Source organism: Homo sapiens, chromosome 2 (assembly GCF_000001405.40).
Source record: "Homo sapiens chromosome 2, GRCh38.p14 Primary Assembly".
Lineage (NCBI taxonomy): Eukaryota > Metazoa > Chordata > Mammalia > Primates > Hominidae > Homo > Homo sapiens.
In genome coordinates, this window is record NC_000002.12 from 71,691,002 (window position 1) to 71,704,696 (window position 13,695).

Here is a 13,695-nt window from a genome sequence, read left to right on the forward strand (position 1 = left end):
ACCTCTTGCCTTTCCTTCTGCCGTGCCCATCTCTTGGGTCTCAGCTTGGCCCTTTCCTCCGGGTGTTCCCCCTGTCCTGCCCTGGTGCCTGTCTGCCACACTCAGTCAACGCGGTCCCTCTTCGGTTACAGGGCTTGTTAACACTCCATTGAAACCGGCAGACTTGACTGTCCCACCCCCACCCCTGGAGTCTGCGCCTCCAGGGCTGAAATCACATCTCAATTCTTAATGAGATGTCTGCTTCCTTCACTGAAGGGACTTTACTAAGTGTTTCATTGCAAGTTTTCTTTAAATAGCCAGGCTCTCAGAGCCATTTCAAATAGGGTTTTATGTTCCTAAATTCAGTTAGTTCTCAACATTTGAGACCAATTCTTGCAGCAAGGTGGAGAATAACTCTCATCTGTGAAAGAAAAGCGGTTCAATAAAGCTTGATAAGCCTTTTGTATCCGGAATACTCAGTTCCCTGCCTTTATTTTGTCTGCTGGTGTTTTTGAGAGATTACACACACACACACACCATTTTCTGCTCCTTTTCCAGGGCTGTGTGGATAGTCCAGGATGGGGTGATGTCTGCTGGTGTTTTTGAGAGATTACACACACACACACACCATTTTCTGCTCCTTTTCCAGGGCTGTGTGGATAGTCCAGGATGGGGTGATGGGAGCGTGGACAGACAGAAAGGGCTCTGAGTGTAGCCCCTGCTGTCCAGCCCACAACCCCTCCCCAGTTTGCCTCCACCCCCAGGGAACTCAAACTTGTCTCAATCCTCTCTCCATGTGTTTCATAAATTTAGGATTATGGGATTTCCAGAGGAGCCAGGTGGGCATCCCCTGACTGGGACCCGGTGACAGCCCAGGAAACGTTTCCTGCTTTGGAAAGAGAACTGGGTGAGGGCAAGGGTTCACCCCGACACACGAGGTCCTCACACGGCTGCGAGCTATTGAAATGAGTGACGCCAACCTTCCCCTCTCCCCTTTCCCCATGTGCTTTTGTTCCTCCCTCCAGGGAAAAATAGCTACGGCTCCTATTCCCTGTGGCTTGGCCCAGCATGGCTTGCAGACTCTGTTTCTCTGCCTTTGTTTTGGTCTCGGTTTTTCATGGGGTCGGGGGTGTGTGTGCGACAGAGAGACAGCAGATGAGGCAGATGCAGAGAGAAACAGACTCATGGTGAGGGGCAGAGACAGAATGACAGTGGCAGCCGGGGACAGGAACAAGACCAAGAACCTCACGCAATCGCCGGAGCATTTCCTCCACGTGCTCCTCATCCAGGCAGCTCCGGAGCCACACCATTCTGCTGGCGCCCAGGCTTACCGCTTGCCCCTGCTGGCCGGTTCTCCCTGTTTCCACCACCCGCCTAGCCTGGAGCCTGCCTCTGCTTCATGCTCTTCGGACTCCCTCCTCAGACTCCCACCTCGCATTCCTGTGGGGGATCGGGGCCCCCCTGGGGGGACTTTGTGGAGCCCACTTGTGTCCTCATTGAGCTCAGGTCTAGGTAGGACACTCTTCCCTTTACGTCAACAGAGGTGTTCTGGGATCTTTTCTAAAGGAACTTGACCGAGAACCAAGGGCAAAACAAAAGAGCGAAATACACAAATCACTCACATGTATAAAGGGTAATACATTTTTAAAATACCTGCTGGTGTATTTTGCCTCTTTGTGATCTGTTTTTCCCTCTCCCTCCCCTGGAGCACTTTTACCATCCGGGCTTACTGCCTGTAGAAGAGGACGAGGTCAAAGATGCCTCAGGATACAGAAGACAGAAAGATACCCTGAAACCCCAGGAAAAGTGCCCCTCTCAGCTCTCATTGGAGCCACTGGCCTGGGAGCTCTCCCCCAACCTTGCAGATCCAGATGCAGCTAGGAGGCTCCGTGTGGCAGCAGCACATCAGGGCCAAAGCCTTCTTCAGTCTAAAAAGGGATTCCCAGCCTAACAGATGCCTGGACGGCAGAGATCTTCCTCCAGCCTGGTGGTTAAGGGCATGAAGTTTGGAATCAGTCACACAGTGGCCCAAGTCCTGCCCCTGCCACTGAGCGATGTGACCTCGGGCAAGTCGTGTGACCTCTAGGCCTCAGTTTTCTCATCTGAAACATGGGAATGATGATGGCTTTTCCCTCATCGGGTGTTGTGAGGACTACCTGAGATGATGCATAGCAGGTACTTAACATATGAGATCTGTAATCATTCACTTAAACAAGGAGCTCTGTCTGTCCTGCGTGCTGGGGAGGAGGCAAGGGTTAAAGAAGACGGAGCAGTGGGGAGATGGCTCCCCTTGTTGGGAGGCTCCTCCAGTGTGGGGCGATGTTGACTCATTTCTCCATCTAGAAAGGGCTGGGCTTTCTCCCTAGAAATGGGGAGGGACCGCAGAGAAACTGCAGCTGCCTTGATGTCCCGGCAGTGCCCTCCACCCAACCCTGTCTCGGCCATCATGTCTGGGCTTTCCTTTCACAGCTAGCTAGCAGTGTGACTTTGGTTATTCCACATGCGGCCTTCAGGTGTGCTGTCACCTCAGATGATCACAATGGGGGACCCTCCAGATATGTACACTGAAGACCCCTTGTATAGACCCACTCATGCAGCTGGTTATGCCCGGCCACACTCCAACTCACCCAGGACACACCCATACTCCCTCAGACCCATTCACAGCACAGGCATCAACACAGCAAGCACCCAAGTGTGCTCTCCGCACATACATTTCCTCTCCGTGTGTGTGTGCGTGTGTGCGTGCTTCACATTGTCGGCCAGAATATGCTCTGGAAACCCAAGCAGAAAGGAGCATGTGAATGTGGCCATCAGGGATAAATTAATCCCAGACATATAAAGGGTTTTTTTTTTTTTTTTTTCATTCTCGGCCCTACTGCAAATTCAATTATGACTCTCTGCCAGCTACTGAACTGAGGGGACAAGCAAGTACGTGGCTGAGCCTGGAAAATGGGACAGGGCAGGGGATCCTTCTGAATCCACACCCTCATTCCGCTTCCCTGCTGTCCAGGATCCGGGAGAGAGTTGCAGGGATTCCTGGATTCCCTACACCAGTCAGATCATGGGGCAGCAGCAAGGTGCCATCCAAGATGTGGAGCTAATGGAAGCAGAGCTGCCTTCTGGGAGCTGAACTAGGAAGGGACTGCGTGCGGGCTCAGAGCATAGACTGGCAAAGGCTTGCCGAGGAGGCCACTGGTCCCAGGTCCTGGCAACTCTTAATGGCCCATGCATTCACCCACCCAGGGAGAAAAACGTGAGTCTCAGACACCCACCTTGACAATGTCCAGGGAAGAGAGGCTTGGCTTGTGACTCCAGGGCAAGACTTTCTATCCCCCATGGCTATTGGGGTGTGGCCATGATATGTCCCTTGCCCTCCACATTCCCAGGCAGCCTTCTGATGGTGCTGTGGCTCCCGGTACAGGCCTGTTTGCAGGCGGTGCATGTGTAAATTATGCTGATGCAAGCTGTGTTTCCCACTGTGCATTCACATGGGGGCATTTTGGCTTCTATGCCCCTCTCTGAGCTCTGCTAAGGAGAGTCTGCCCCTTTGGGGACACACTCTGGACCCACCTTCCTCAGACCCACACAGTCAGGGGTCTTAGCCTGCAAGCATGCCTAGGCTAGGAGCCCTCCTAGGTCGAGAATGTCCCTGGAGAGGCCTGCCGGGGGAGACATGACCAGCCTCTCCTTGGAGACGCCCATCTCATGGGATCGGGGAGGTTGGGCATTCATGTCCACCCAGGCTAGGAATGAGGTGCATCTCCTGTCAGACCTAGGAGCAGTCCTCTGTGACATAGCTGCCTCCTCCTCTTCTTCCAGAGGGGAGGGCCGCGATGGGGAGTCAGTTACTTTAAGGGAATCCCTTACGGTCTTTGAATTGGGCTTGATTGCATAAGAATGCCCAGAGGAGGCCAGGTGGAAGCCAGTTTTGAAAGAGGAGAGACGAATTGGAGGAGATTCGATTTGCTGTTGTTTCTCAGGTGGTGGTGAGGTGGTGTGAGTGGTCAGTCGGGGTGTCTGAGGCTGGGAGGAAGGAGAGTGATGGAGAAATTTGGTCCTGGTAGGGGAGCCGAGGCCCCCAGGGGAAAGCCCCCACAGGAAGCGGTCCCTTGGAGAGAAGTCCAGGGCCTGGAGGAGCAGGCCTCAGACTGGAAGCGGGGGCTCTGCCGCTCCCTGGGGTCCTCTGGGGCCTCCTTAAGTAACCTAGGCCTGGCCAAGGAGAGCTGGGTTTTCACAGTAAGACTCAGGCTGCCAGAAGAATGAAAAGAATGGGCCTGAGGGAGCACCTCCGCCATGGATGGGAGGAGGGAGGAGGACAGGGAAGGAGCAGAGGCCCGTGTGTGTTGTGGGCAGCCGCACCAGCCCTGGGTCAGCATCCAGTCTGCCTTCCCTGGGGTCTCTGCATGGCAGAGGCTCCACACCCTGTATAGTCAGGCTGCTTCAGGTGCCTGGGACTCACATCCCACCAGGCCAGGCTCCCGGGCCCTCACCCAGGACGAGCCCTCCTCTCCACCCCTTTCCTTTTCCCTCCTATCTGCACCAGGTAAGGGAGCTTTGGAGAGGAGGGAGGAGCAGGAGCAGGGTGCTCCCCAGAAGCTAGCCCTTCCCCCACCCCCCAGAGATGGCTCATTCAGGGCTGAGGATGAAGTTTGAGACTGGCCCGCCTCCAGGCTGGTCAGAGAGGGAGCCCCAGCTACCGAGTGCCAACTATGTGTCAGGCACTGTGCTAGGCACGATGCCACCTTTAGTCCTCACCTGTGAGAGATAGCTATTATGAGCCCCATTTTAGAGATGAGAAAAGTGAGTCTCAGGGAGGTCACGCAGCTGTTAACGAAAGGCAACCCCAGCCACGTGGACTCAAAATGTTTGCTTTTCGTGCTACCCCACCTCCTGACTCTGCCCCCAGCACAGTCACCCCGCCCCAACCAATCTCACATCTGCTGACTTCCAGGCTGGATCCAGAACTCCCACCAGGTGGGTAGGGGTGGGATGCAGGAGGCAGGTGGGGGCCATTGTGTAGAGGTAGTGTTGGCACTGTGAAGCTTGCAGTTTTTTCATTCACTCAACAAATACTTACTGAACAACACCTGTGCCCAGGCTCTGTTCTAAGCACAAACTTCTTGCCCTTGTAAAAGCTCCTGGTCAGGGAGTCAGATGAGAAACAATTTCAAGCGGTGATAAGGGAGCATTAGGAGGAAAAATAAAGCCAGGTGAGGAGATAAATAAACAAATCACTACGATGGGAACTAAACGAATGAGCCTTTTTAGATGGGAGAGGGGAGAAGCCTTCTGGAAATGTGAAGCAGAAGCAGAAACCTGGCTGAAGGACAAAAGTGAGCCATGCAAAACCTGGGGGACAGCATCGCAGTGGGGGGCGCAGCAATTGCCAAGGGCCTGAGGCAGGACTGAGCTTGGCTTGACTGTGTTTGTACTGCCTGGAAGTGGGGCCTTCAGCCCTCTGTGGCTCATCGGAAACTTTGGGCCAGGGAAGGTGTTTCTGCTCATTCCTATCTGCTCCCTGCTTGGCTCTTTCTAGGACCAAAGCGGGTGTCTTTAACCCCTCTAGGCTGAGCTGGCAAGACAAGTACAGAGCCCCCTTGGCCGTCTTTTTCCCGTGGTTGGCCACCTGGCCCCCGGCCTGGGCTTGGGAAATGCTTCCGGAGTTCACACTCCTCACTGCCCACTCTGAACCCCGCTGGCGATCAGGGCAGCACACTATTTCCAGATGGGCATGGGAGACTGTTTTATTTTTAAAAATAGCTTTTGTTGGTTTTTGTCTTATTACAAAAGTAATATTTGTTCATTATAGAAACTGGAGAAAACAGCTAGCAAAAGGAAGAGTATAAAACAGCCACTAATCCTATTACCCAGAGAGAACCACTGCTGGCACTTGGGTATCTCCAGAATTTTCCATGTGAGTATAAAGTATATGTTAGTATTTTTTTAAAAATGTGATCTCACTGTGCAGAGTGGTTTGTAACCACTGTACCATGAACACCCATCCGCGTCTACATATTCATCTATAACATGATTTTATGGCTGTATAATCATTGATCACTCGGAGGAACCATGGTGTATTTAGTCAGGGCTCCTATTGATGGATTTTAGGTAGTTTCCTTTTGCTTTCTTATTGAGCATCTTGTCTGCAGGGCTTTTCCATGGCCATCCTAGGTGGCTGTTTTGAAGTGGCTAAGCAGTCATTGAGATATAAGGGCAGGATAAGAAGCCTCAGAAGGCCAGAGGTCCTGACGGGTCTGGGGTGTGTAGGTGAGTCCCTGCTTCCTTGTCTAAGGCAGGGATCTTTTAAGTGTCTCAGACACCCCTAGGCAAAAGGTGAATCACTAGAAAGACTGAGGAGATAGGATTAAACCGGGAAAGTGGTGTCTTCCCTACAAGCAGTGCCGCCATAGAGGAAGGACACTCTGGCCTTCCGCCTGCCTCAGGGCACCTCCACGACCCCTGCCCATAGTAGGCTGGGGTGGGGGATAGTGGGAGGAATGAGGTCACCGGTCAGGAGGGGTGGGGTGGTGAGGATCACCTGCCTCCTCTGCAGAAGGCATTACGGGAAAGCTGGGGATGGGGATGCGGGTGGGGGATATGAGGTGAGGCCCCCAGGGATGTGTAGATGTAGCGTGGATGAGAGGGGCTGTCTGGGTGTCACCAAGGGTGAAAAACCTCCTTTGCCTTCTTCATGAGGCTGCCTCTGATTTCTCCATCAGGGCGGGCTTGGAGCTCCTGCTTTCATGGTTGTATCTCCTCAGGGCCTTTACCCCCTGCTGCTTACATTAACAGGAATAATTCGGGCCAGCCTGCACTTGACTCCAGCTCTCTGGCTTCTCTCCCCGCCATCTGTGAGGCCTGGGGCATTTCTGTCCCTGCTCCCCCTAGTCAAACGCGGTCAGGTCATCAGAGCTCCTTCAGTTCCTATGAGGTTCAGATGCCAGGAATGTGGAATGTGGCACCTGGTAGATGCTCAGCTTTAAAATCTTCTTTTACATTTTCTTATCCCACCTTTGACTAAATATTTAAGGGGATGTAAAGCATCTTCATCTCTGTGCCTCCCCAGGGATTGTCTCTAAACCTCTCCCTGGGAGGTGGACAACACTTCACTGGGGTATGGGAAGAAAACATTCACAAATCCAATCTGTTACTCTTTCTTAATATATGATGTTTGGCTAGACCTTGGACGCCACTTATGCCATGTGACTTATGGTCATGTATTCTATGCTAAGTGCATAGGAGTCCTAAGGGAAGGCAGTGGTAGCGCCACCCTTGTTTTTCAGCTTTTGGTGTATGGCTTTTTGTGTCTTAGCTTTTGGTGTGAACCTGGTTAGTTAAGGGGATTTAGAGATTACACATTGTGGATTTAACTAAAGTAACCCTCACAGAAATGGACACACAGCTTAAAATAATTCCTGCCATGGAACTACTCTGATTGAAATTAAGCTAAGCGTACAAACAGGTGACAATGGTGGATGGGAGATAAGCTAACCATGTGAAGTAGAAACGAGGGCACAGCTAACCCATGCATCCACCGCATGCAGGAGCTCCCCAGAGAAGCTGCATTAGGCAGTAAAAAACATGCCAGGTGCGGTGGCTCATGCCTGTAATCCCAGCACTTTGGGAGGCCGAGGTGGGCGGATCACCTGAGGTCAGGAGTTCAAGACCAGCCTGGCCAATATGGTGAAACCCCATCTCTACTAAAAATACAAAAATTAGCCAGGTGTGGTGGTGGACGCCTGTAATCCCAGCTACTCAGGAGGCTGAGGCAAGAGAATCACTTGAACCCGGGAGGCAGAGGTTGCAGTGAGCTGAGATCGCACCATTGCACTCCAGCTTGAAAAACAACAAGGACATAATCAGATCTGCCAAGAAGTCAGTGACACTGCTGATGACCCAGAGGCCTTGCATGGGTCACCTGCAGCAGTGGCCCTCATCCTAGACCTAGAACCTGCCTTGAAGTCCTCATTGTTGTCCATGGATAGACCGTGTGGGGAGATAAATCAGCATCTAGGGGAGTGCATGCTCAGACTTTTCACCAGTGGAGGTTTGCTATCAGTGCGTTCGGAGGTCACCGCTTCACAGCCTCCAGCCCCAGGCTGGGCACACAGCGGGGCTCAGGAAGCTTGCACGGGCTGATGTATGTCTTTGTGTGAGTGTGCGTCTGTAAGAGATTTTTATGACTAGGCGTTCCTCTCACCTCCCTCATTCAAAGCCCTCACCCCTCCTTCTCCTCCATCCCCCCCATCAATTTTTCTCTCATTTATTCCCTCCTGCCAGTGGGTGCCCCTGCCTGACCCTCATTAACTCAAAGTGTAAAAACCATTTGTCTGCAGCCCCCTTTCCTCCCTCCTCCCCCAGCTGGGGCTGGGGCATGGCCCTTCTTTCCTCCCATAGAAGCTCAGACCTCTGTGGTTTATGAGCGAGACCCTAATCTGGGAGGCCCCATAGAACAGGCAGGACTCGTTAGGGGATGGCCTCAGGGCTGCTCAGAAGACCTATAAAAAGTGAGTGATGCCCCTGGGGAGCCCAGATCCTCTGTTATTCCTCAGAAGTTGGCAGAGCACCGCACACCTCTAAGGGCCCCGTCTTGAAGGACAATGATGTAGGTGTCACCCTCCCAACCCAGGGCTGTGTTGGACACGACTTCACAGCCATATGTGGATGGACGGTTCTTGGCTCTCCATCCCTGCCCGATCCTCCAGGGTAGCTCCTGCCCCAAGGATCTCTGACCCCAACCTTCTCATCTGGGGAGGGCAATTGTTCATTCCTCAGCCCCAAAGGAAGGGGACTTGGACAGGGAGGAAGGAGGGCAAATTGGACCTGAGAGTACACTAGCTAATACATGCTTAGAACTGGATAGGAGTGTTTGTAGTATGTCAAGGAGGCGATGGATCAGGATGGGTGGCTGAGGAGTGGGCCCAGAAGACTTGGGTGGCAACACTGGAGATTATGAGGACTGCAGACTGTCCTTAAACGCGGAGAGAGCTTCCCAGAGTGGGGATGCTAAACTGCCACTCAAAGGCAGGTGGCTTCTCCAACAGATCTCCAGGTTGGAGGTGAACCCCAGGGCAGGGGACCCAGGTCCTCCTCTGCTTCAGTCTTAGCTGGCTGCCAGAGGGGCTGGTTGTCTGCCCACCAGAGCAGAGAGAGGTGAGTGGGCTGGGGACATTCCTGCCCTCCCCAACCCGCCCCATGCTACTCCCTCTGGCAGCAGACCAGAGGAATCCAGGAGCCAGAGGTGGACCCGGGGCTTGTGGCTAGGATCCCTGCCTGGCCCTGTGCAAGAAGGCATTGAGTTTTCATTCCTCAGGGGAGCTACAAATTTCCTGACGAGCGTGGTTGGGTTTATGTAACGTAAACACCTCAGCACACAGTGTTCCACCTGCAGGGGGGACAGGTGGGGGCCTCAAGTGCTGGCTGCTGGAGGTAAGAACTGAGGAAAAGCTGGCCTCACCCGGGAGCCAGGTAGGAGCCACCTAACCGGTGTGCCAGCCAGGCTGGTGCAGAGTCTGAAAGTCACCCATCAGTGTTCATTCACTGGCTTCAGCAACGACCTCTCCCGGATAAGGGTCACTGAGCAGATCTCCCCACCTCAGGGCAGGCGAGATGAGACCCTGTACGCCTCCCTCTGCTTTCTCCATTCTCAGACTCTGATGGCCCAGGGCATCCCCAGGAACCCCGGGGGAGGCGGTGGGGGGAGGCGGGGGAGGGGGAGGTGGGGCTTGACCAGGAATGGCTGGGGAAGGGCTTCAGGAATCTCCACTTCTGTTCTGAGCTGACATTGTTCACAAGGCAGGGACAGAAGTGAGTGTCAGGGGCAGAGCCGGGGAGAAATGTGACGGCCCTGGTGGGGCCCCTTCCGGGGATGCTCTGACTCGCTCCTTGGTCTGAGGCCCGCCTGACCTGGTGCTGCATGGGGGCTGCCTGGGTGGCCCTCCGCTGGTCTGGGCTGTCCCTAGGCTGGGACTAGGCCCTGGGTGGCTGCACTGGGATTCACTCAAAGCCACCGCTGACCTGTCTCCCGGTCTGCCAGGGTAAAAATAGATGTTTCCACTGCGGCCACCTCCGCAGCATCAACTTTCTCCTACTTGAGCCCCTGCCAGTGCTCGGCTCAGGGACTGGAGCATGAATTACAGGGCTGAGCTTGGCGTCGGGGCCTGGCGTCAGGGCCCTGCTGTGGAGCCAGGCTGCTCATGAATGCCCTATTGTTTGGGGAAGTGACCCTGTGTGTCCCTCCTCGGGGCCTGGGGCCTGCCCTGCTCACCTCCAGGCCTCTTCCCATTCCCTTTGGCTTTGTGCCCGCCTGGCCTCTGAGTTCCTCACCTGCCGCCTCATCTTACAGGGGAGGCACAGTCCCTTCCATACAGGGCCAGCTCTACGGGCATGTGACTTATGCAGTCACACAGGGCTCCACGCTCAGAAGGGCCCCACGCTTGGCTTAATGCCCTACTATCACCACCTTGACTTTCCCAATAATTTTGGAAAAAGGCACATTTGTATTTTGTACTTGGCCCTATGAATTACGTAGGTGGGCCTGCTCTATTAGGAACCACTAGTCTGATGAGGGAGCCACGGCCTCTGCCTCTGCAGAGCCCCAGGTCTGATGTGAGAGCATCTGCTGTCCTTCGGGGAGCCCTTAGATTGGAGAAAAAGGCATGGCTGCCCTTAGAATGCACACTGATGGGGCACACATTGCCTTTGCCCCTTGTGAGCCCCCAGGCCTATGTAGGAGACCCCATCTGTGCTCTCAGAGAGCCTCAGGTCTGATGGGGAGATACAGCCCCTGCACTTGGAGAGCTCAGATGTTGGTAGGGAAAGCATGGCCATTGCCATTGGCAAACGTGTATTCTGATGGGGAAGACAGAGCCTTTACCGAGCCCACAGTCAAATGGTGGAGATACTGGCCCTGCCCTTGGGGGCCCTTAGGACCCATGGCAAAGACCAGATAGACACACATGCACATGTGTATAGCAGGGTTAGTCCCTGCTGAGACTCGAGGCCATTCAGGGTATGGGGGAGTTTGACCAAGGGCAGAGCATAGGGCCCTGGGTAGACACAGACCGCTATGAGTGAGCTGCCAAGGAGGAAGAGCTGGGGCCAGGCCCTGGCAGGAGAGGAAGGCCGGCATCTGGGTCCTGTGGGGGTGCACGCTGGCTTGTGATGGGGTCCTGGGAGGATCAGAAGGACTTTTCAGAGGACCCAGGGAGCATGGTAGAGCTTGGATGCTCCTGAAGGTGTCAGCCCCAGAATAGCAGAGGCTGGTGTTTTCCTGGCAGAGCAGCATGTGGGCTGGGGCCCTGCCTGCCCGGGGCTGGGGTGCAGCTTGCAGTGGAGGCTGGGAGCGCAGCAGGCCCAGAGGACTAGGACCCTTGCGTGAACTCCTATGACCCACTGAACTCCCTGGGAGTGGGTGGGTATGAGGGGGCCTCACTAGGGTCCTGTGAAGGGGAAAGTGATTGGTGACTGGATGCAGGGCCAGCTGCCTCCCCAGCCACAGGGGGAGCAAGTGGCATGGCAGCAGCTCCTCTGGAAGCCTTGAGGGCCAAGGGACCCTGGATCACAGGGGGCAGTTCCCCATGAAGGGAGGCTTCCTGGAGGAGGTGGCAGGAGGGTCGGGGCTCTGAGAATGTCTCTGTCTGTCCATCAGCCTGCCTATTCTTCGGGGTGCACATTGTCCTCTCAAGGCTGCTAGTATGAAAGGACTCCCAAGAGGTGCCCACATTAGAGATGGTGAGGAGCGGTCTCTCTGGTAGGTGACGGGCTCCCCTGCCCTGTGAGGAGCTACAGTGCAAAGGTGAGTGGCAGGCAAGGCGGAGCCCTGGAGCCAGCTCCCCCTGCATGAGTGTGAGGATTCTGCCGTGGGGCCGACTCTTCCTTCATCCAGAGCCCGGCTGTGGCCGCTGACTTGCCTCTTATACCTCTCTTTGGCCTGGCAAGGGGGGCCGGGAGTTGGAACCCCAGGTCAGAGCAGCCAAGGCTTGCAGAAGCATCTCAGGGTCTTTCCCATGTAGAATCCTGGGCGGCATCTTGAGAGACCCCTGTGTGGTCTGTGAGAAGCAAATTAAATCATAGTCAGGGGCCACGGCCACTGTGCTGCTCTGCCCCTGGAAAGGGCTGGGGGCCACAGCCTACCCTGAGCTGGCCTCAGCCAGTCCACCAAACACCCGATCCCCAGTGAAGGCTGGGAGAGAGATGCCTGGGGAAGTGGTTGGACCTCATGCTTGGTAGTGGCCATGGGGCTTGTTTGATCTCGACTGTGAGGCTCAGAGTGTGCAGGGAACTCTCCATGGGGCGAAGGAAGAGTCCTTTCACCAGGAATTTGGAGACCAGGGGCTGTTGAGGAGGAGAGAAGGGAGGAGGGAGAGATGGTGGAGAGAATGCTCTTGGGGACCAGGGTGAGGGCTCGGTCTGGGGCTGGGAAAAGACTTTTTAACCTTTGCAGAATGACTGTATGCATCCAGGTGAGGTAGAACTGGGGACCTCTGCCATCGAGTCCACCCAGGCCTGCCTTCTCAGCAGACATTGTCCCTTAATCAGGCACCCCGGGCACCGTTCCTGCCTGGCTCAAGACCCAGCTCTGTTGGTGTTATGCTCACTGTGCATGATGTAGCAGAGTGAGCTCCAAGATGCCAAGCCCTTCCTCAGGATCCCTGCCATCGTGGCCACAGCAGCTGAGTTGGGGGATGTGTGGCAGAACAGGGGAGGATGGAGGACGGCAGCGGGGGCCTTGCTGCTACACTCCCTGTCCTTGCCTGCCCCTCGGAATGGCACCTCTGCAGGTCAGGCAGCAGAAGGGAAGGCAGTCAGACACCAAGGGGGACTTCTGGGTGGCCCCACTTGGTAATGCATCCTGCACCAGAAATCCAGGCATGTGTGGGGTTTCTCCTTCCTGGAAATTGAGGGCAAAGACACCCCCAGGTCCACATCTAGAGCTGGGTGGACCACGTGCCAACCTTCTCGGGGGAGGAGGAGCTCTTCCCTTTCTTCCCCCAACCTGGGTGCTGACTTCAGGGATCAGCTCAATCCCCCACAGCTGTGTTTGCCTTCTCTGTCCTGGAAGAGCAGTTTCTGCATACACCTTTCAGCCCTAGCCCTCAGATCCTTCCATATGGGGGAGATGGCAGGGCCCCCACCCAGTTGATCCAGTCCACCTGTGAGGCCAGAGGCGGTGGGAGCCTGCCTGGGCCCGCACAGCCACACGGCGGGGAGCAGAAGGCAGAGCTCCACTCTTTCTCTTGCCGCCCACTTGCATGAGTGTGATTACTTCATTCATTTATTCAATCAGCCAGTATGTGCTGAGTGTGTGCTGAGCCCAGAAGGCTATGCCAGGAGCTGATAAATAAGACTGCCCCTGCCCTTGGGGAGGCAGGAAGATCTGGGCAAGCACGTGTCCCTGTGCCCTGCGGGGTGACAGAGACTGTTTCTGGGACAGGGAGGATGATCTGTCCTGCTGGAGGGTGGGATGTCCCTAGGAAGACGCCTGCCCTGAGACCTGTGGGATGAGGAGGATGGGATCAGGCTGTCCTGGTGAGGCAGCTGAGGCTGAGGGCCGAGGAGCTGTGGGTTGGTTGCAGGGACCCTGGTATCTGGCTCTCTCCTAGGACCCTGCTTTCCCTCTAGGTCTGTGGATCTGACCTCTGCATGACCTCCCCTCCCACTCACCTCAAGACTGAGGCGCCTCTCAGTCACCCCCTTTTCTTTGCCTTCTCCTCC

At 55.1% G+C, this 13,695-nt stretch overlaps 1 long non-coding RNA gene across 1 annotated transcript in view, besides 2 other annotated features; it reads left to right on the plus strand.

The window, feature by feature from the left end:
- Positions 2,460–2,959: an enhancer, noted in NCBI's record as "H3K27ac-H3K4me1 hESC enhancer chr2:71920591-71921090 (GRCh37/hg19 assembly coordinates)". NCBI's record gives its function as "activates a minimal SCP1, AML or CMV promoter by ChIP-STARR-seq in naive H9 embryonic stem cells {active_cell/tissue: H9 hESC(naive)}" and the evidence as "EXISTENCE:reporter gene assay evidence [ECO:0000049][PMID:30033119]".
- Positions 2,960–3,959: an enhancer, noted in NCBI's record as "H3K27ac-H3K4me1 hESC enhancer chr2:71921091-71922090 (GRCh37/hg19 assembly coordinates)". NCBI's record gives its function as "activates a minimal SCP1, AML or CMV promoter by ChIP-STARR-seq in naive H9 embryonic stem cells {active_cell/tissue: H9 hESC(naive)}" and the evidence as "EXISTENCE:reporter gene assay evidence [ECO:0000049][PMID:30033119]".
- The window catches only part of LOC124907827 (uncharacterized), a 47,724-nt gene continuing 39,085 nt past the window's right edge, over positions 5,057–13,695 (plus strand). Inside the window, exon 1 of the long non-coding RNA XR_007086966.1 lies at positions 5,057–5,893. This is a non-coding gene — a long non-coding RNA (uncharacterized LOC124907827). The remainder of the gene's footprint in view (positions 5,894–13,695) is intronic.